Genomic DNA, 22,075 nt, shown 5'->3' on the forward strand with positions numbered 1-22,075 from the left:
CATGAAATACACAGATAATTTGCAAGTGTAATTCTAGCTATTAGATTCGTCCTTTTCTGTTTCATTTCCTACTTAAAGCTATTAATATGTTTTATAACAAGACGACACATGGCTTTCATCTTTTCTCTTTCTGTGATCATGGTTGGATAGGAAATAAAAAGGGCAGTGATCCTGGGGCCAAGGTAAAGATGAAGTGGAGCAGGACTAATGGATAGGAAGGAGGTTGGAGGAAGCCTGGGATAACCCAGTACCCTATCAGCAGCCTATGGATATCACAGCTGAATGAGCACTTCGGGCTATGACCTCTTTCCCTGGTGTGTCATTCAAACATATATGATGTCATAATACTAACAAAACAGGAAGGGCATCTCCAAATCAGCAGTTCAGTGCAACCAGAGTCACACCCATGGATGAAGTCAATGAAGTTGATCCAGCTCCATAGGTGTGTGATTTGAACATTTGCTAAAAAAATGAATTGACTTATGAGAATTAACTTCCAAGAGGATAGTAGGCAACAGTCTTATTTGTGAACAGACACAGTTTTTCAGTTATAATAAAATTAGGATAACTAGGAGGAACCCCTATCTTTTACCAGGTAGAAGCAGGGACATAGACAAAAATCATCTTTCCCTTCCTCCCTTTCCTCTCAAAAACTTTTTCTTTTTGTAAATTATGAAATATTTCAGATACACTGACATAACAAACATAACCGTACCTAACATCCAGTTCAGGAAATAAAACATAAACATCACAGTCGAAGTTACTTACAAGCCTTGAGCCTCCCCTCCCTGCAAACACATATATGTCCTAGCTGAAATAAATCACTATTTCAAATTTTCTTTTTTCCATTCTCCATGTACTTAAATGTTTTCCCTGGAATTCATATTGTTTTTGCTTTGTTTTATTTTTGCTTAGAAATATACCAAGTCTCTAACATTCCAAGAGAGTTGGAAAGGAGGCCTGGACTACAGAAAAGGGAGGATTTCCAAAGTCAGTCAAAAGCCTGAAAGAATAAGACTTCCTGGTTGATATAGGTCATCATTTGAGGGGGTATGTGTGTCATTGCTCTTAGTATGTAAATGCCTGTTTGATGACCAGACTCTGTGGAAACTAATTACAGCCCAGCTCACCTGACTCATCTGTTCTCTCCTTCTCCATTCTTGCATGCTGTTGTGGTCATCTCTTTGACTGTCAGAGGCTAGTTTATGATTTCCTTTCTCAGTACAACCTCCCCACTTAGGCACCTCCCTTCCCTCTAAGTGCACATGCAAGGTGTGTTAGTCCATTTGCATTGCTATAAAGGAATACCTGAGACCTAGTAATTTATAAAGAAAAGAGGTTTGGCTGGCATGGTGGCTCATGCCTGTAATTCCAGCACTTTGGATGGCCAAGGCAGGGGGATTGCTTGAGCTCAGGAGTTGGAGACCAGCCTGGGCAACATGGCAAAACCCTGTCTCTACTAAAAGTACAAAAATTAGCCAGGTATGGCAGTGCGCACCTGCAGTCCCAGGTGCTCGTGGGGTGAGGCGAAAGGATGGCTTGAGACCGGGAGATCAAGGCTGCAGTGAGCCATGATTATGACACTGCACTCCAGCCTTGGTGACAGAGCAAGACCCTGTCTTAAAAACAAACAAACAAACAAACAAAAAAAACAAAAAAAGAAAAGAGGTTTGTTTTGCTCATGATTCTACAGGCTGTACAGGCATGGTGCTAGCATCTGCTAAGCTTCTGGTAAGAGTCTCAGGAAGCTTACAATCGTAACAGCAGGCAAAGGGAGAGCAGGCAGTGTCACACGGTGAGACAGGGAGCAAGAGAGAGGAAGGAGGTGCTAACATGCGTACTCAGTATACATTTATTAATATTTATTTTATTTGCTATAATGACTCATTATTAACAATAGACAGGGCCATGGAACATACACTTATCACATAGTACGTTAGTCTGTTTGCATTGGTGTAAAGGAATACCTGAGACCTAGTAATTGATACGGAAAAGGGGTTTGGCTGGGCATGATCTCATGTGAGAACTTAGAACTTACTCATTACAAAAGGACAGCACCAAGACATTCATGAGGGATCTGCCCCCATGACCCAAACGCCTCCCACTAGGTCCACCTCCAACTTTGGAGGTCACATTTCAACATGAGATTTGGAGGGGACAGAACATTCACACTATATCACATGGCAAAAACTCTAAGCATGGCAGACTGAATAGACTGTAACCACTTGTCTCCTACCTGCTGGTGTCTTGGTTCCCAGAAATGTCACATTTAATGGTTGACTCCACATGTCAGCATTTCCTGCTCTTGCTTTTGATTTGGTGTTACTGGATTCCTTTGAGTCACTAACATCTTTATGTTGATCGCATAACAGGCAGATTAGTACCACTATAACTTCATGAGTAACAACCTCAAATGGGTACTTTATACTTCAGGCAATTACTACTTTTCTCTAGGAAGCTGGATTTCCCATTTTCTGAGACCACTCTTTTTCTCTCTCCATAAACTGTCTACCTCTCTTTCACTCCATTTTCATATAACAACTTTGTCACCAATTTTGAAAGCTTCAGTATGACAACAGTAGTCAAGAGGCAGGAATGCCACATTCCCATCCCCAAATTTACAAACCTAACTTCCTCTGCACCCATTTTCTTCTTTTTTCCTGTCAGTACAACAACAACAAAAACCATGTTTTTCCTATAAAATCCTGTCATCCATTGTGTGTGCTCTGAATCTCATTTCACCAACTCTATCCCTGTAACCTTCTCTCCTGCATCATCATTTTGACCTTTCTCCTAAAATAATTCCCATCAGCTTTTTAAAATCTGCTGTCAGTTACCACACATCCAACTGCTTGTTAACTAATTTGTTAAAAATTACTTGAAAGTTAGCAGCTCACTAACTTCCGAAATGTTGTTGCTATTATTTACCCCACTATCTCTTTGTCCTTGAGTGTAATTCCATTACTATCATTTTACTGAAGTTTTGGGAGAGTGGAGGTTAGTGAATATGTTCAACTTGTTATCTTTAACCAGACATCCCTATTTACTCTTCAACTCATTTCTATCTGGCTACTTTCTCCTTGACTCCCCTAAAACAGCTCATGCTAAGGTCATCAATGAACTCCAGTTTGCCAAATCCTATAGACTGTTTGAATTCTTCTCTATCTTGTCTTTCTATAACATCCAACACAGCTGGCCACTTTCAGTTTTTTTAAAAAACTATTTTCTCTTGAATTCCATGACATAAAGTTCTCTTGCTTCTCTAATCTCTCCTGAACCCTCAGTTATCCTTGGTGGCTCTTTCTTCAACTAACTTTTAAATGCTAGTTCTTCTTCCCTTACCTGGCTCCTTAAATGTTGGGAGTTACTTGCAGCTTGGTGCTGAGTCTTCCTCCCTATATACACTCTCTCTACCTTCTCTCTTCCATCCACACAGCTTTTATCTATAGGTCAACAAGTCCAAAATTTAGGTCTTTGTCTTTAGATATATCTTTTGAACTTCAGACCTGTAGATGCCTACATGATCTCTGCTTTCACATGATTCACAAACATCTCAAACTTAACATGTCTTAACTCTTTTCTTCTCTATTCTCTCCAAATACTTCCCCCCTTCATCTTCCATGAATCAGTAAATGTCACTTTTTCCTACCAGTTGATTGAGTAAATATTATTCCACATCACCAATTCTTGGAGATCCTATCTCTAAATTATATATTACATCTATCCTCTTCTCTTGACATCTACATGGCCCAAGCCATCATCCACTTATTAGCTGTTTGTCCTTGAGGCAGTTTAAACTTTATAATTCTCAGTAATCATATCTATAAAATAGAGATGATAATAATAGCACATAACTTATAGAGTTATTGTAAAGATTACATGAGATAATACATGAAGAGTGCTGAGTATACTGTGAGCACTCAGTAAATGCTAACTATGATAATGCTCACCGTCATCACTTCCATATGTTACTGTAGTAGCCTCCTCCTCACTGGTACTCCACTTCCACTCCGCCCTCTTCAATCTCTTCTCCACAGGGCAGTTACAGTAAATTTTGAGGAACATCAATCTGATGCCTTCCTTAAAATGCTTGAATATCCTCCCAATGATCTTAGGATAACTTTATTCCTTTACAGGAATAAACTTCATTGACTTTATTCATTCACATGTTCATTCATTCAACTATATATCGAATGTCTATTGTAGATCCAGCCCCTTATTAGGTGTTAGGAATACAGCAATAACAAAAGTCACAACTAGTTCCTGCCCTTGTGGAGTTTACAAAGTAATTATGAGCACAAACATAAAATAAGCAAATAAAGCCTGTTAAATATGAATTCGAGGAAATGCTTAATATAGCTTATAGATGCTGCAAATCTGGATCCTTGCCTGCTTCTAATACTTTATTTCATGTCCCCTTCTCCTGTTTATCATACTGTGACCAGACTGGTCTGAAAAATATTTCATTTCCTTCTGCAACATCATGTTTGCAAATGCTGTACCCTCTATTTGAAATGATTTTATTTTTCAACTGATTAGTTCTTATTCATGCTTCAGATTTCAGCTTAAATGTCATCTTCTCAAAGTCTTTCCCAGATTCACCAATTTTAATTCGATTCTCCCACCCAATTATTCTTTTCATAGCATCTGTATTTATTTTTCACATCAGACAGGTAATGTGCTGATGTCATAACAAGGTTTGAGAGAGTCATCACATCCCACACATAAGTGCAAAACCCCAATCATCACACTTATGAACTACAAAAGGATCTCATAGCACTTGTATTTTTATTTCTTTGTAGTGTTGTTTTTTCTTTCCCTCCAAATTATACCCACCACCTAGGGAAGTTCCTGGTATGACATTAGCATTCAGAAATGTTTATTAAATGAATTAATATTATTGCAATCTTGAGGTATTTGACACCATATTTTGCAATAAGTAAAAGCTCAATGAGGATTTGTTAAACCATTTAACAATTTTCCGAGATAAGTTATTACCTTAGCTTTTCCTAGCCAAATTCAAGATCATTTTCTTGATCTTCATTGTAAGAGTAAGAAAAACAAGGCTAGATCTTTGGATGTTAAAGGATGAACCTAATGAGAGGGTAACTTTGGCAGTATGTCAACATAATGCAAAATCTGCTCCTTAGTTTTGTAGGTTTAAAAACTCAAATTGATCAATGTACTCCATAATATTAACACTCTAGGAGAGGTAATTCAATCCAATAAAATTCATTAGAGAAAGAGTTATCAACCCCAATACAAAACAGTTAAGTCATAGTGGAAGAAAGTTTGGAATTCCAGTAACTGTAAAATTTTGTCCATAATTAGGAATAGTAATTTTATGAAATGTCCTACATAACAGACTCTAAAAATAGATTCTTATTCCATAAAAAGGACATTTCCATTTAATTCAATATAAATATCCGACAGAATGGAAATGAACTGTGTTAGAAAAATATTTATGGTTACTTGATAAAGTGACTTTTCCTATTGGACAGTTCTAAATAAACCCTGACAAATTCTTACGAAACCCTTCTTTCCTCCATTGTTGACAGAAAAATTATTACATCATTTGTTTCATACCTGATATTTCCAAGATTACATGTTTTAAAAAAAAACCCCACGCTTTTATGGTAGTTGTTTCTTGATTATCTTAGGAAAGGTGCTGCTGAGGACTTCCACTTCCAGGAATGCTGGACTGGGTAATTCAGACAAACTCTCCTGCTGTTTGCAGTGTAGAGCCAAAAAGATAGTGAAGAATTTGGCAGGCACTAAGGACACAGGCCTGGATCAAGGTGAGGATAGGTCTGGTGTGTTGTGTCCAACATTTGAGGCCAGCCACTTTTCCTCTGGAGACATTTGTCTGTTCCAAAATGGGTGGCTGAGATGCTGAGAGGCTGAGTGGTACTTCTGACAGCTTAAGAGAACAAGGAGAACAGGCATCAGAGTTCAGGGTCCACCAATTAATGTGCTCTAGTGAGCCACACTCACTGCAGGTTGGGACCTCAGAGAGCTGCACCATAGGAGTGAGCATGACCTCTTCCAGCACTGGCGTGGGGACTAGCTGTGTTGGACTTACAAGTTATGGTGATGTCTATACACTCAGTGAGATAGGTAAGGGTTATTGGGAATAATTTTGTCTACATTTTGTACTTAACTTCGGTATTGATTTCAAACCTGACTCCTGAGTCAGCAGCAACTCCAAACAACTCCAGATTAATAGCTTTTCGGCTTATTGCAGTGATTCAACAGGGCCATCTTTAGGGTTTTAGAACATGGCCAAGTCATTATGACATCTGCTCCAATACCTCAAGATTCACTAATGAAGTCCTCCAAGTGAATACAGAGAAATGCCACAGGAATAAGATCAGAAAACTTCACTTCGTGTATGGAAGGAATTCTAGGTCAGAAGGGCAGAGAAGTTAAAAGAGTGGCAGCTACTAAAGCAAAGAGAGAGAAGGCTATTCATTCTTTGAGAGCTATTAATAGTTTCTTAGGAATTCTTGAATTCATTTTATGAGGAAATCATAAAAGTTTCAGTGGGCTTAGGGGAATATGTTTGTGTCTTGTTTTCGTCTGGTAAACATCCTCAAAATTTATAAACAAAATAGAGACAAAGACAATCCAAGTCAAAACAAAATAGAAAATATATTTGAAATGCCTGCTTTTCTGTTCTTGAATGTCTCATTCAGGCTTAAAGATATAAGATAAGCATAGATACTTACCATCCAGTAAGTATACACTTTGCCAAATACATGTCCTGCTTTGTAGCCTTCGCCACATAACTAAGAGCACAAGCCACTCTTTTTCTAAGCTCTAATGGGATGGTAAAGAGGACAGAAAAAAACTACGTTTTACTTTTTGTAGTTATAACTAGCATTTAAAACAGATTTTTTTTTTTTTTTTTTTTTTGAGACAAGAGTCTCGCTCTGTCGCCTAGGCTGGAGTGCAGTGGCGCTATCTCGGCTCACTGCAAGCTCCGCCTCCCAGGTTCACGCCATTCTCCTGCCTCAACCTCCCAAGTAGCTGGGACTACAGGCGCCCGCCACCACGCCCGGCTACTTTTTGTATTTTTAGTAGAGACAGGGTTTCACCGTGTTAGCCAGGATGGTCTCGATCTCCTGACCTCGTGATCTGCCCTGCCTCGGCCTCCCAAAAAGCTGGGATTACAGGCATGAGCCACCGCGCCTGGCCAGATTTTTTTTTTTTTTTAATTATACTTTAAGTTCTGGGATACATGTGCAGAACGTGCAGTTTTGTTACATAGGTATACATGTGCCATGGTGGTTTGCTGCACCCATGAACCCGTCATCTACATTAGGTATTTCTCCTAATGCTATCCCTCCTCTTACACCCCACCCCACTGACAGGCCCCAATGTGTGATGTTCCCTTCCCTGTGCCCATATGTTCTCATTGTTCAACTCCCACTTATGAGTGAGAACATGCAGTGTTTGGTTTTCTGTTCCTGTGTTAGTTTGCTGAGAATGATGGTTTCCAGCTTCATCCATGTCCCTGCAAAGGACGTGAACTCATTCTTTTCTATGGCTGCATAGTATTCCATGGTGTATATGTGCCACATTTCTTTATCCAATCTATCATTGATGGGCGTTTGGGTTGGTTCCAAGTCTTTGCTATTGTGAACAGTGCTGCAATAAACATATGTGTGCATGTGTCTTTATAGCAGAATGATTTAAATCCTTTTGGTATATACTCAGTAATGGGATTGTTGGGTCAAATGGTATTTCTAGTTCTAGATCCTTGAGGAATCGCCACACTGTTTTCCACAATGGTTGAACTAATTTACACTCCCACCAACAGTGTAACACGTGCCTATTTCTCCACATTCTCTCTAGCATCTGTAAAACAGATTTTAAGATGATAGGGACCTAATGACTTCTAGCACTATTTCTCATGCAAAAGACTACCTCCATTACTAATGTATTTTGATAGCTTTCATTTTCATTCTTGTTAGGTTTTTAATGTAAGTTTACTTTGCAACAATATCTATCCTTTTTTAGTCTGAGTTCTTTCCTCTAGGGCCTCAGAGAATAAATCTAATTCATCTTTTATACATGTCCCAAAATTTGAAGTTAGCTAACATGTCAATCTCTTCTTTTCCCCCTCATTTCTTCAGCCTCCAAGACGGCCATCAAACCTGTTTTTCACCACATTTTACAGGTAAAACCCACATCCAAACCTCCAATGCAACATGACCAACATTAAGACTATTGCGGCCAGGCGCAGTGGCTCACGTCTGTAATTCCAGCACTTGGGGAGGCTGAGGCGGGCAGTTCACGAGGTCAGGAGATCAAGACCATCCTGGCTAACGTGGTGAAACCCCATTCCTACTAAAAATACGAAAAATTAGCTGGGCGTGGTGGTGGGCGCCTGTAGTCCCAGCTACTTGGGAGGCTGAGGCCAGAGAATGGTGTGAACCTGGCAGGCGGAGCTTGCAGTGAGCCGAGATCACCCCACTACGCTGCAGCCTGGGCGACACAGCAACACTCTGTCTCACAAAAAAAAAAAAAAAAAAAAAAAAAAAAAAAAGACTATTGCTTCCTTTTTCCTGCTCTTTCAAGTATTAAAATGCAGCTATTTTTGCAACCTAAGCCATAGTACTCTATTCGGATCAGAATTAGAATTAAGTACCATTGCTTCGTCTTTTGTCAAACCAACTATAAAGCCAGGTTTTCCCTCATGCTGAACTCACATAATGGATTGTTTAGAATTCAAGGGCAGGACTTCACATTTAGGAATATTCAACGTTAGGATTTTTTGGCTTGTTGAGATTTTTGAATTGTCATTCATTGTTCTACAAATCTTCTCTGGATTTACATTATCTGTAAACTTAATAACTGTAAGTGGTGAGTGAAAATGAATTGCATGAGGCTAAGGACATAAAACTGGTATAAGCCATAAGAGATCTCTCGCAAGTTGATTAATGGTTCATTTAAACCACCATGGTGATAGCCACGATTCCCAAACTTTTTTTTTTTTTTTTAAATCATGCATCAGAATCGCCTGGTGGGCTTACTAAAATTGATTGTTGGGTCTCACCAATTTCTGATGTCCTTCTGAGCACTTGCATTTCTAACAAGTTCCCAGGTAATGTGATGACCAACTTTGGGAAGCATTGCTTTATGGGCACAATTAATCATTCAATAAGCTTCCATCACACAACCCAACCGATTCTTTATGAACCTTGTAATGTGAAGTTTGGCTTGACTTATTCTTATGTTGGATGTACACTGACCCCCAGAAATATATTTTATGCTGCTGTACAAACTGATTAGATATTATTATACTTCCACGTCCATAATTTTAAAGCTTTCAATGAGAAAGAATGGGTTAAATAGTTTAGTTTAGTTAGGGAACCTGAACTCTGGCCAATTGTAATAGCCACAGGGTTGCTTCAAATACATGTTTAAATGTTGACATTGCCAAAGATGAAATAAACCCTCCTATAGTGATGTTGCTGTTTTCAAACAGATCTAAGTTCACAAAGATTGCAGTCTATTAGAAAATAAATATTAAGCCTTTCCACACTGACAACTTGTCAGCAACAAATATTGAATTACAACTTGTAGGATTGGATTTAGAAAAAAATTTAGTCAATGAATGGGAATTTCAACCTTTCGTTAAGGAGAAATACCTTAGTTTCTCCTGTCTCATTCATTGAGTCCGCCTAAAGGGTGATATTTGGCAGATTTTGGTACCTTAGTTAAAGATTCGGTAAGCTTTTGATAATATGTATATTGAGTAAAATAGCCGTTCAGTGGCCATATCTGCCCTGATCCCAAAATATACTCAAACAACGTTTTCACTTCATTTATTCCTTTGAAACAAGTCACTTAATACAGCATTTAGATATTTAAAGTCATACACCTCATAAATAAAATCAATGCATCTTAATGACAATGGCAAAATCACATAAGAGTTGTAGAAAATGAAGTTAGACATCTTCCAGGTAGCAGCAGTGTATTACTTCAAAAAATGCTGGCAAATAGGCAAAACATTTTTAAAACAAGAAAACACTGTCCATCTGCATTAAGAAAAAATATTTTCTTATGCTGTTTTGCCCATCCCTACTTTTTCAAGTCATATTCTAAAGCTCTAATTTGACGGTCTTTACTTGTGGTTTTCTTTTTGCGTTAGGAACCTCTGTCTCTACTGCATTAATACAGAAACTATAGGAATATTGTTGTTCTCTAACCCTTTTCACAAACTATTCATATTCATTCTGTATTTAGGCTGAATTCAAATTTTTTTCAAGGAAAAATACTATTCTGCTAAGTACATATTTCCTGTAAACAGCTGGAGTCCTGAATGGCACCAATGTGACTGGAAAACTGACAAAAATTAGGTCCCCTGGTCCTTTAAGTAACTTACGGGCTAATTACATAGCCTATACCAGTTTATAAAGTAGACTCATGTAATCATATTAGAAATTCTGAGCCTAAGATGATCCTTTCTGTTTACCTACAACTTAATCAAATTATATCTTCACCATTCCTAAACTCCTATATGTTGGTTAGTACTTTTAAAAACATATGTATAAAAGGGCATCATGGCAAAATGCTTATAATTCATGGTTTCATACTTTAATGATAAGCTTTTTCACCTATGGCCATGCTACATTCTATGACAAGAAATGGGGAAGAAGGGTTGAGTTGACACAAAGGCATTGCTTTAAAAATGTTTGGAAAAGGGTAATTCATGACTAGGAATGCATCTATTTGACAATCTCTTCTTTATCAGTGGTACTTTGTCTTCTTGGCCCTTTTCTCCCTTCACTCTACCATGAGGGGGTTACCAACCTCCTTTAAATGTGTATGAATCAAGACCTAAATCAGCACCCTACAATTCAACATCAATAATAATTTTAAGTCAAACATTCAAAGCACTGTAAGCAAAATGCTAGATAATTTTGAGAAAAATAAACACTCTCCCACAACCAGGGACACTTAATATTCTTTTTATGTGGAATGAAATGTGCTGAAATACTGTAACATAAGAAAACAGCTTTAGTTTATAAACTAGCTTATTCAAATCAAGTGTTTCACTTTGGACTTAAAATGATGCCACTTGTATATGACACGTTTAAGGCCTCTGACTCAAAAATCAGCTTCCTTATAAGTCTGCTTGGAAACAAGTTTTAAGGATCGAATCTTTTAGAAATTATCAGTCATCTCTGCACTACAAGGACAAATTTGAATACTGCATTGTATAATAATACAAGATATTCACATAATAATAAGTAACATTTTTAATGCTAGGGCACAGACCATGCTCCTAATAGTTACTGAAATTGAGTTCTACTGTTATCAAAACACCAGAATGTTGTGCCAATAGATACACTCTACACTGATGGCAATCTTTGATTAAGAAGAGCTGATGGTTAGTAGCTCAAGAATTGTACTTTAATGTCCTTAATTAGATCCCTAGAGGGCCAACATGTAAACTTTTATTCCATATATATTTTTTAAAGTGCTGCAAACAAATGTGTCTCCACACATGAAAGAACATAATTCTTAGTATGTTTAGGAAGGCCACCTGATTTGTCAAAAAAAAAAAAAAATCACTCTTGCTTAATCTTGCATACTTCCCATTCCATTTTTTTTCCCAAAAAGATGTAAGAAAACTATGTTTAGCTTAGGGCAACTTGCAACACCCACGTTTTAATCCCTCCACAGAAGGAATAAACTAGAGAAGCAAGTTAGGCATGGGCATTTAGGGACACAGACAAATTAGATAGATAACATAATGTTAGTTAATTCCTCATTATTATTTTGCTGGGACTTCATGGAATAATCAAGCGGCATGACTACATTAGTTGTTAAAAACAGGGTCAAACTGACCAGCAGTCAAGCGTCAAGGGTACCACTTGACTATGCTAATTTCATGGGAAACAATGAAGAAATCAACCATGAACCATTAGCAAAAGATGGAACACACTAATGTCTTCACTTGGCTAACACATCACAAAATTTCCAGGTATGTTAAATTTTAGCTTCTGAAATCACTTTATTCAGGAGTGAATCTTCATAGTACTACACCTGACCTTTAATCCAAAGAAAAGTAAGAGAAAGGAAGAAGGGTGGGGTGGGAAAGTGAGGTCTTTATTCACTTTGCCACTAATATAAACTGTCATTTTAATTTTTAAAAAAATTCCTCTATGGCAGGCAAAAACTCAATGAATAGGAAAGATTTCATTCTGCTCTAGTACAAAACTTAAGACATTTAATCCTCCTGAAAGTTGTAAGTCCATAGATTTTCAAAATTCCCAAGATGAGAATTTACTCCCTTTAATAACTAATTCCAAGAGTTTAATAAGCACAGTAAAAAATGAAAAAACAAACAAACAAAAAGCAAACCCCTGTAAATTCTGTGAGGCTTAAAAGCTTGAGTTTAGAATGAGCAAAGGTTTAGGTTTTTAATCCTCAATAATTAAATCAGATGGTCCACAAATAAAGCTTCACCTTGAATTTTCCAGGATCAGAACACTAAAGTACTAGTGCTAAATTTCAGCAGACTAAAGAGTCATTTTTGAAAGGAATTTGACAGAGTATCAGTGTCCAACCGGTAAATGGACAACCTAGATAACAGATAAAATACAATGAAATAAGATCCCCTGAATAAATACTTGACACTTAATATGTAAACAAAGCCCTTACAATGAAGGGGTTTAATTCTGTAAAATATCAGTGTTCTATTCCTTTCCATTTGTTAAATTTACCCACTGTAGAAAATATATACTGAATATAAAGTGACAGAAACTTATGTTGGAACATATCAAAACATATGACAGAAACATATCAAAACATGCCTGGCACAGTATAAATTACTCAATAAATATTTGTTGCACGAATAAACTTCTAGATCTAAAGCTGTAGTAAGCAAATGTCAACTCTGTGTCCTGAAGTAGCAAAGAAAGGAAGGCAAGCTTTCTGAGTAATGATGCATAAAGCTCAATTTGATAATTGTTATCTAGTGGTATATTCTTAATTTACAGTTTTAAATTTAGTATTTTCTGGGAGAAGTAAAAAAGATACAAAACCAAAACCATCCAGATCAGATGAGAGTCAGGTGTGGAGAGATTTTCAATCCCATTAATTTGAACACATTATGATTGCCAAACATTAAGTATCATAAGCTCATCAGTGCTATTTTTAAGGCTCAGTAAAATAGAAAACTAAACACTTTTAAGTTATGCTGACCATAACAGCTTATATTGTCTAAAATAACTATGCACACAAAAGGTACTCAAGAAATGTCATCTGACAATTTCAAACAAACTTTGTGAATTGTTCCTTAAAAGTTCTTTTCTCTTATATTGTTCAAATGTTCCTTAATTTTATATGGCCACCTTCACCAAGTGAAAGTGCTAAAAATAAATGTCAATTTTAAAACATTTGCTAGGCAGATATGCTGAAAAAGATCCAAGTGCTTTAAAGTATACCACTGAATTTCTAAGTGAGATACTTAATAAAAAAGAGACCAAAATAACAAAACTTCACATTAAGCCTCTTCACATTATGTGAGATAATACATAACAAATTATAATTTAGCATCCCTGATCAGAATAATTAAGAAAAGAGGTAGAAAACTTTTATCTGGAAGATCTTGTAGTGAAGCTAAGTTTTAGAGGGTGTGCCTTGCGGATTAGTCCACTAAGCAAATGGCTACACATCTAGTACTAGGAAGAAGCAGAATTCTGAGAAAGCTGCATAAGGCAAGGATTTACAATTTTTTCTATTTTGGAAGTGAAACTAGTTCATTCAACAGTATTACTCCAATTGCTTTAAAACTTCAAAAATCAAAGTAAAAGATTGCAGATAAGCAAAGTGCTAATTTGCAGAAATGTGAAATTATTTAAAATAACTTTAGTGGAGGGATAAGGCTAGCACAAAAGCAAACACTCTTTAGGTGTGCAAAAAATCTTACAAAAACCAACCCAAAGCAGAGCATTATTACTTGAAAAAAATTTTTTGGAGGAAGTGCTCTTAACAAAAAGCTGAGAAAATTAAATTCCCCCCGATAAACTTTACGCAAATGAAGAAAAAACTGAGGACTCGAATTTCAAGGAATTTCAATTAAAAAAGTACCCTGCTTAACTTTAAAATGTTATCCAATGTGACAAAGACCAATACATGAATTGCATTAAAACACGAGGCCAACGGTCTTTTAAAGCTTCAGGAAGCTGCTCAGGCACCTATTCCCTCATACATTCTACGTTTTATATGCTAGAGATCTTAAACAGGGCACAATCAGTTCCTGTTTTGTGATAACATTCTCAAGGATGAGACTCATCCCTGTAAAAATTGCTTGTGATGTACTTATCAGTGGTTAAGCACACATTTATAATGTCTACCAAATTGCAATATAAAATCAGTTTGGACAATTCTGAGTATCTTCATTTGATGAATCAATTCATAATTTAGAAACTTAACTCATTCAGAGTTTTTAAAAAGACTCAGTTACTGGAGACACTGTGGTAAATGTCCAGTGGACTCACAGGAGGCCTTCCACATTACCCAAAATGTGATGCTTTCTTCTACAAGTTAAAGCTGCTGGGTGCTAGTTTATAATACTCAATCTCAATCGTATGCCCAGTGGACTCACAGGAGGCCTTCCACATTACCCAAAATGTGATGCTTTCTTCTACAAGTTAAAGCTGCTGGGTGCTAGTTTATAATACTCAATCTCAACCTTCAGGTCAGTGTCAGTAGGTGGCAAGGATCACCTATTCTGTCACTCCAGCAGAAAGAGGCATGTATGTACAGTTTACCACTGTAGACACACATCTGTAAACTTGCACACTAATTTTAATCTTAACAAGGAATTTCAGTGTCTTAGTGGTTTTAAGTTAAAAGGATGGTTCAAGCATTGTATCCTTTGTTCTTTAGGGTTACCATAGCTTATTGGAAAACCCAGAGCCTTCTGGATGTGTGAGGTAGTAGGCTTCAACCCTCATTCATGCATAGGTCACACTTCTCCAAAGTTGGTATGGCCTGTCTCCTTGGCATGTTCCCTTGCTTCTGCTTGTCCAGTTAATCCTTTCTGACATACCATGCATCTCAGGGTGAAGCGGTTGACATCAGTAAACTGTCTCCTTCTTCTAGCTTCATCTGCTAATTCCAGTGCTTGTACAAGAACAATATCATCATTAGAGGAGAAAATGGTCAGAGGAGGTGTATCTGGATCAGGGAAGTTACGCTGAAGTGGATCATAGTGGATGCCATCATAAATAAGCAGAACCCTTTTGGTATATCCTGCATCTTCCCCAAAACGATCAATTCTTACTGTCTGTGTATCCACTACACATATTTCACATTGGTAAAACTTGGACAAAATCGATATCTCTATTGCTCCTCCCCAAGTGTCATCCCTTTTGATCCAGTCACAGTACTCTTGATTTGTTTTTCCCAGTATTGCCTCACTATAGAAGTCTGGATCGCTTGCTACAATTTGTGCTATGAGGCGTCTCATCTCAGGGGCACAAGCTGGATTCAAGACTCCTCCTTCGACGACATAGTACACACTAGTAAAGAGGCAAGAGTTGTCTGCTGGGACCACGGTTCTGGTAAGCACAGGCAAAGTTTCCCTGACGTAACTAGAAGCACCACGTTTAGTAAATGCAGGTGAACTTCTGGGCCTGGTTTGGTCTTCTTCAATGATCAGCATGTCACCTGTTAAAAATAAAACAAATCCCGATCTGCAAAGAAATTACAGAAGAAACCGAGTGTTCTCTAGCCAAGTCTGTAAATTACAAACTGAAGGAGTTAAAGCATAAACTGGGGTTACTAAGGAGAATACAGTTTTGCAAGTAAGTTACCAGTAAGAATCTTTGTTCACTGAATTTTCATAAAGATGAAAAAAGAACAAAAAACACTTGAGGTTGCATCCCAATTTAGTGAAGGGGTCTGGAGTAAACAACTTCAAGCTTACCTAAAAAGATACATTTCAAAAACAAAATTTCCTTTCCTTATACAGTATTTTACAGAAGGTGCTCACTACAGAGTAGGCCGCTAGGGGGTTCTCCTTCTCCGGAAACTTATCTACTCTAGAGTGTTTACAACATCCTTGATACAGCAACTGAAAGCTTTTAATTATAAACACTGATGTTCAAGTTTTGATATGGCACAGAAATAACTGCTGCTGGTTAGAAATTGAAAGAGCTTTCAGTGGGTGTTTTAAAAGCTAACTCGAAAATGAGTATGCCTGTCAAACGAAGTATCTACGAAGGGGACTGCAAAAATGAATCAAGAAAAAAAAAATCCTGCACCCTTGAGATCTCATCGGTGATATAGGGAAAAAGAGACATAAGGACAGAGAAAATAGGCCCTACTTTATATTTTTGTGGACGCCGAGGGAAAACAAAATGGGATAGTTTCAAAGCCGACCAGAAAGCGGAATGGGGAAGGGGGTCTTCAAGGCTTTGGGTTCCCTTTCAACCCTGTGTCAAGACAAGGAGTTGCTAGACACTTGCCCTGGCCCCCGTCAGCATTCTCTGTTCTTTGATCTATCCTCGCCCCTGGCCTCAAAGCCCCCCCGCCGACTCACAGCCACCTTGCCTTGACTGGTGTTTTGTTCTCTCTCACGCCCCTCTCCATCCTCCCGGGACTTTCCCTGGCCCCAGCCCTGATTCCTTACCAGATTGGATGGGCAAGTCTTCCAGAATGGTATCCCCATTGCTGAGATCCAGGCACTCGGGAGGGTATCCGACGAGGATTCGCTGACCGCCGGGGGCGATCCCGGTGATGGCGGCAATTTGGCCCTGGAGTTCCCGCACCCGGGTCCGGCTGGACAGCCCCTGCAAAACATGGGTGCCGTCCTTGGCCTTGCAGCGGAGCCGCCACATCGTGTCGGTCCGGCTGCCCACAGGCCAGGCACCCGCGGGGCCAGCTTTGGTCCCGGCAGCCTGTTGGGAGACGCCGCCGGGGAAACCAGGCGCCGGGTGGACTCCAAAATGGCGACCTTTAGCGGGGCCAAACATCGCGAGAAGTTGCGGGTGGTTGCAGTTATCGCGACGCTTCGGTGCGGCTTCTGCCTTAGTACCTTAGCAAGCGCGAACTCTTTTAAAGTGACAACTGATTTTTCCCCCACCCTCAGAACGAAGATGTAAACCTCCGTATTCCTAAAGGACAACGGGTCTTGCTACCTATAGAGCGAGTGAGGTGCCCTCCGCGTGGGTAGCATATATGCTCAAGAAAAGAGGGCGGGGGAAGGAGTTCCTGAATGAAGGTCTGGAGATTGGAATGTGACCTTGCACTTAGTGAGGTCGGAAATTATTAAATTGGGGCTTCCACACTACACCCAGACTACACCAGGAGAAACAGAATCATAGTTCACAACGCAAACGAATGCCAGGAATGGTCAGTGAGTCAAAGGACCAGTCAAAAACAATCACACTTGTGACTAGACTCGTGGCTGCATTAAACATTGACTCATTGGGGTTCCAGGGGCCAAAAGACTGGCCTTTCTGCCTCCCTGGGACTGTGCTTGAAAACGTCTATTTGCCACTTCAGAAAGCACAGTATGAGGTCAGCATCTGGGCCCAGGGCAGCTGCCTCATTCAGGTGGTGGCAGTGTAAGGAGGAGTCGTGTAACGCGTGTCATCAGATTCCAGTTCAGTTCCTGGGCATACAAATATGAAGACTTCATTCCTGCCTTCATTGTAACAAGTATTCATTGCAGTTGGGAGACAGGGTGGGGTGTGAGACACACAGCCACTGAATTTCAAAGCAACGTGATAATGCTAGATTATCTGTACCTTTTCAAACGTGTATGCCTAGAACCCAGGACTGTGCCTCGCAAATAAAAAGTGTTCAACAAATACTGGCTGAATGAATAAAGACAGAGTTGTATAGACATAGAGAGGGCAACTAGAGCACTCTGGGAGTTGTAAAAAGCCTTAAAGAGGAGATAACTGTTTGAACTTTTGGAAGAATTAGTTTAATTCCCAGGCGAAGGAGGAATAAAGACATCCCTGAATTTATATCTCTCTTTTCCAAGAAATCCATACTCATTGTTCTTTATCCAGCCGGGATTCAGACAGCAAGTCCCACTTGCCAAGAGTGGGTTTATCAAGCATCAAACGGGCCCGCTGGGGCAACTATGAAAAGTGTAGTTCACTTGGTGCAAACTCACCTCCACTGTAAAAGACTTTGCTTCTGAATAAATTATATGTAATGTTTCCATCTTTTCACATCTTTCATGACTCAATTTTTTTTTGCTGGTGCAATTTTCCTCCTTGGTTCTTCAAGACGACTGCAACGGATGATACAGCCTGGGTTAGGGGGTAGGTAGGAGGGAAGGTAGGAGTGGTTAGAAGTCCACCGGGGTGGCCGGGCGCAGTGGCTCACACCTGTAATCCCAGCACTTTGGGAGGCCGAGGCGGGTGAATCACCCGAGGTCAGAAGTTCGAGACCAGCCTCATCAATATGGAGAAACCCCGTCTCTACTAAAAATACAAAATTAGCTGGGCGTGGTGGTCCATGCCTTTAATTCTAGATACTGGGAGGCAGGAGAATCGCTTGAACACGGGAGGCAAAAGTTGCGGTGCCAAGGTCGTGCCATTGCACTCCAGCCTGGGCAACAAGAGCAAAACTCCATCTCAAAAAACAAAAACCAAACCAAACCAAAACAAAAAAAACTCCAATGGGGTGTATGGGTGGGTCCAGGGAAGCTTCTGGTTCAACGATGAGAGTGGTTGATTTTCTTAGGTCACAGCGTCTGACCTGTGGAGCCGGGTATGTATACACCCTAAGGCATAATTAGCTCAAGTGTTGTGGTAGTTTATTCTAGCAAAAACATCTTTAAAGCTTACGTTCCCATTTATGGATCTAATGAGGTTCTGCTGGGATTCAGGAATGAGAGCGTTAATCTTTGCAGCATTTTCTCGTCACCCGGCACACCCGCTCTCAAGACGCCTACCGAATAGTCTACTCTCGCGAGAGTCAGAAAAAAGTCAAGCTTTTTATTAACACCGCCCCCAGCCCTATTAGTTACCAAGCAACAGTGCCACCAGGCTCCTCGGCGCTGGGAAACTCAGGAGCTTGTGATCTCTCTGGTTCCGACTTCCAGCCGCCTTCCCGAGCCAGTTAGGCGATTGCGACCCTGCCCCGCCCCCTGGGTCCTGCAGGCGCCCGATTGGTGGATGATTCTCTCCAGGTGAGGACCTACGCGCGAGGGGGCGGGGCCAGACGGGCTCACATGATTTGCCGGCGACTGTAGCGCCGGTCCCGGCCACAAGCTGTCGGCTCGGTTCGGTCGCGTTACAGGGCAGGCGCCGGGGCCAAGGCAGGGAGGGATCTTAGGAGAGATCGTAGGGTGAGCCACAGCTGCGCAGCCCCGGGTAGGGTCTAGCGGGGCGGGATGTGGGGGCTGCGTGCCCCCGGATGAAGTGCGGGGAGAGGTGCTGGTCCCCAGGCATGGCAGGCAGCGCGGACGTTCTGGGACCGGGAGCCACAGTCTGTGTTTGGGTTGGAGGATTTGTGTGGTCAGTAAAGGAATCGTGTAAGGCTCTTGAAGGCGCAGGATCTTCCGTCCTCACCAGCCCCCTGTTGTCTGAATTGGGGGCATGAGCTCAGGACTTTCCCACTCCAGTTTGAATCAGGGCTTACCCCTCTTCCTGAGGTGACCTTGGGGAAGTCATTTACCACCTCAGCGCTCCGGCGTTCTTTAGACTGAGTCCCGGGGGTAACTAGGGAGAGGGTGCGGAGCAGGGCTTGAGAATGCACTAGAGGAGAAATGACGACGTGCTAGGGCTGTCTTGGGGTCCAGTTACTGTTTTTCCTTCAGGGAATATGTTCGAGATTTTCCCACGTCCCTCACTTTTTTCTTTTCTTTCTTTCTTTTTCATTTTTCATTTTTTTTTTTTTTTTTTTTGACAGAGTCTCGCTCTGTCGCTAGGCTGGAGTGCAGTGGCGGGATCTTGGCTCACTGCAACCTCCGCCTCCCGGGTTCAAGCGATTCTCCTGCCTCAGCCTCCCGAGTAGCTGGGACTACAGGCGCGCACCACCAGGCCCGGCTAATTTTTGTATTTTTAGTAGAGACGAGGTTTCACCATGTTGGCCAGGATGGTCTCTATCTCTTGACCTCTTGATCCGCCCGCCTCAGCCTCCCCAAGTGTTGGAATTCCAGGAGTGAGCCACCGTGCCCGGCCTCACTGTTTGCAAAACTGAGTCCTACCGTTAGATTGGAGTTAATTTCCTGGTAATGTACTTCGTCTATACATAACCCACCCCACCCCAACTGCTGCCACTACTCTGCCCAGATTCTTAAAACTAGAATCTGAGGTCATGAAACCTTGAGCAGGACACTTAATTCGATGAATCTCAAATTTTCAATCTGTAAAATGAGAAGAAATAATGGTGGCAAAATCTGCCTAATTACAAGATTATTGTTAGGACTGAAGAAGATAACGTCTGTAAATGTAGACTCGTAAGTCAGAAGATAAATGTAAGGTTCTAGTGCAACTCTTTTTATAGGTGAGGAAACAGAGGGCTAGAGAAGTAGCTGCTAACTGGGAGAAACAGGACTGAACCTGCCTCTTGGCCCAGGGTGTTTTTACTTATACCACACGGATCCAATGCACTGACTTTTTTTAAGTTATGTCTTCTTTCTTCCCCTTCCCTTTTTTACATTCTACTTCTCTGTTTCAGACATCTGAAGAGCTGCCATGTCTGGGGCATCTTCCTCAGAACAGAACAACAACAGCTATGAAACCAAAACCCCAAATCTTCGAATGTCAGAGAAGAAATGTTGTGAGTTCTGGCAGAGAGGAGGGACTGCTCTCTCTCAGCATTTTATCTTGGGAATATAGTTATAATCCTGGACTCTGCTGCTTGGTGGGAGTGATAAATAATTATTTGACATGGAAATTTAATGCAAAGTCTCCAGGGTAGAATGTCCTGTCTAAAACAAGTAGACTTAGTGAAATGTCTGTTCTTGGGGCTTGACTACTGGTGTAGTCCAGCAGTTTCTTACTGCTTTCTTAAACTGAATCTCTGTCTCCTGGGATGTTTGCACACTGGCTTGCTGATGGAAGTTAGAACTAACATTATTGTACACACAATGAGTAAGGCACAGTTGCAGGTGCAGGAATTACTTGGAGCTGGTAATGTTACCAGCTTTATCTGTTGGGCTAAGTTTTGGGAGAGTGCTGCTCATTGTAGAAATTGCAGATGGGAGCCAGTGCTGCTTGGTTTCCTTCCTACAGGCCTGAGGGGAATGAGCCCTGACACTTGGCTTCTCACAGTGTCTTGGGCATCTTACTTTCTCACAGGTTTAGCCTTTGTACTTTGTAAACTATTTTCCCTATAGGTTCATTTTTTTGAGGACAGCTTTCACATGAGCATTTTCATTTCTATGCCTGTCTTTTAGATAGAAACAGCAGGAGGGTTTGCGAGGAGATGAAGCATCATTTCCTGTCCCCAAGCATCTGTATTTCTAAGCATCATAGGCTGCATAGCTTCCCAAAAGATCTGGGACTCTGTTCCCCACATATTTTGGGGAACTTCAAGGAATGCTAACTCTTGCCTCTGCTTCTGGATGGCACCATTCCTGCAGAATCCTGTCAGTCAGTTCTTCTCACTTCAGTGGTTATATATATATATATATATATAGCCAGTTAGTCAAGGAATATATATATCTCAGCAGGTGGAAACAGCCGACCAGCATGAGACCAGGAATTATCTCATGTTCAAAGCTTTTCCCAGAGCCTCGACCTTGATGTCATGCCCTTGTCAGTTTCATGATTGACAATGATAATCTCTCTTCACCTAGCACCCATGGAGCCTGCTGGACAGAAGCAGCTGGCTGGATGTGATACTGGGGTTGGCAGAGTTAGGGTCTACAATTAGGGTCTCTTTTCTCTGCCAGGGCAAGAAGCCAGGTGCTAAGGGCAGAATACCCCATGAGAGATAACTAGTATAGCATGATGTTTGAGTATAGCCTCTGGAGTCAGACTGCCTGAGTTTGAATCCCGGGTTTATGACTTCTTAGCTCTTGAACAAGTTGCTTGTTCTCTCCATGCCTCAGTTTACTCCTTTTAAAAGTGGGAATACT

The 22,075-nt window shown here is 40.5% G+C and overlaps 2 protein-coding genes and 1 non-coding gene across 12 annotated transcripts in view, besides 3 other annotated features; 1 reads left to right on the forward strand and 2 right to left on the reverse strand.

Annotated features, from left to right (window-relative positions):
* Positions 1–385: 385 nt before the first annotated feature.
* PFKFB2 (6-phosphofructo-2-kinase/fructose-2,6-biphosphatase 2) overlaps positions 386–22,075 on the forward strand; it is a 46,612-nt gene continuing 24,922 nt past the window's right edge. For 2 of the 8 annotated variants that reach the window (XM_024447657.2, XM_024447654.2), the window contains exons 1-2: positions 19,010–19,177; positions 20,671–20,772. In XM_024447657.2, the coding sequence (XP_024303425.1) occupies positions 20,688–20,772 (85 nt within the window). In that variant the 5' untranslated portion in view covers positions 19,010–19,177; positions 20,671–20,687. Of the gene's footprint in view, positions 443–915; positions 1,051–8,138; positions 8,183–19,009; positions 19,178–19,244; positions 20,222–20,670; positions 20,773–22,075 lie in introns of those variants that run through there. The other 6 variants (XM_047422549.1, XM_024447655.2, NM_001018053.2 and 3 more) reach the window with 4 other exon arrangements.
* LOC124904826 (small nucleolar RNA U13) lies at positions 4,664–4,770 on the reverse strand. The gene has a single exon (XR_007067422.1). It is a non-coding gene; the product is annotated as a small nucleolar RNA U13 (small nucleolar RNA).
* Positions 5,494–5,788: a silencer, noted in NCBI's record as "tiled region #4428; HepG2 Repressive non-DNase unmatched - State 7:EnhWF, and K562 Repressive DNase matched - State 5:Enh". NCBI's record gives its function as "represses a minimal TATA promoter and a strong SV40 promoter by Sharpr-MPRA in HepG2 and K562 cells {active_cell/tissue: HepG2 | K562}" and the evidence as "EXISTENCE:reporter gene assay evidence [ECO:0000049][PMID:27701403]".
* On the reverse strand, positions 9,819–19,086 carry YOD1 (YOD1 deubiquitinase). Of its 3 annotated transcripts, none has more exons than XM_047424447.1 (4): positions 19,016–19,086; positions 18,155–18,293; positions 16,658–16,817; positions 9,819–15,693 (listed from the first exon to the last, which is right to left on the reverse strand). In XM_047424447.1, the coding sequence occupies exons 2-4, from the start codon at positions 18,203–18,205 to the stop codon at positions 14,990–14,992; spliced, it is 915 nt and encodes a 304-aa protein (XP_047280403.1). In that variant the 5' UTR covers positions 18,206–18,293; positions 19,016–19,086; the 3' UTR covers positions 9,819–14,989. The 3 variants fall into 3 exon arrangements, with proteins under 3 accessions (XP_047280403.1, NP_001263249.1, NP_061036.3); NM_001276320.2 differs by having other exon boundaries at positions 18,834–19,086; NM_018566.4 differs by lacking the exons at positions 18,155–18,293; positions 19,016–19,086 and having other exon boundaries at positions 16,658–17,178.
* Positions 16,742–17,312: an enhancer, noted in NCBI's record as "NANOG-H3K27ac-H3K4me1 hESC enhancer chr1:207224117-207224687 (GRCh37/hg19 assembly coordinates)". NCBI's record gives its function as "activates a minimal SCP1, AML or CMV promoter by ChIP-STARR-seq in primed H9 embryonic stem cells {active_cell/tissue: H9 hESC(primed)}" and the evidence as "EXISTENCE:reporter gene assay evidence [ECO:0000049][PMID:30033119]".
* Positions 18,536–19,175: an enhancer, noted in NCBI's record as "H3K27ac-H3K4me1 hESC enhancer chr1:207225911-207226550 (GRCh37/hg19 assembly coordinates)". NCBI's record gives its function as "activates a minimal SCP1, AML or CMV promoter by ChIP-STARR-seq in primed H9 embryonic stem cells {active_cell/tissue: H9 hESC(primed)}" and the evidence as "EXISTENCE:reporter gene assay evidence [ECO:0000049][PMID:30033119]".

The sequence above is a fragment of the Homo sapiens genome, chromosome 1 (genome assembly GCF_000001405.40).
Source record: "Homo sapiens chromosome 1, GRCh38.p14 Primary Assembly".
Taxonomy (NCBI): domain Eukaryota; kingdom Metazoa; phylum Chordata; class Mammalia; order Primates; family Hominidae; genus Homo; species Homo sapiens.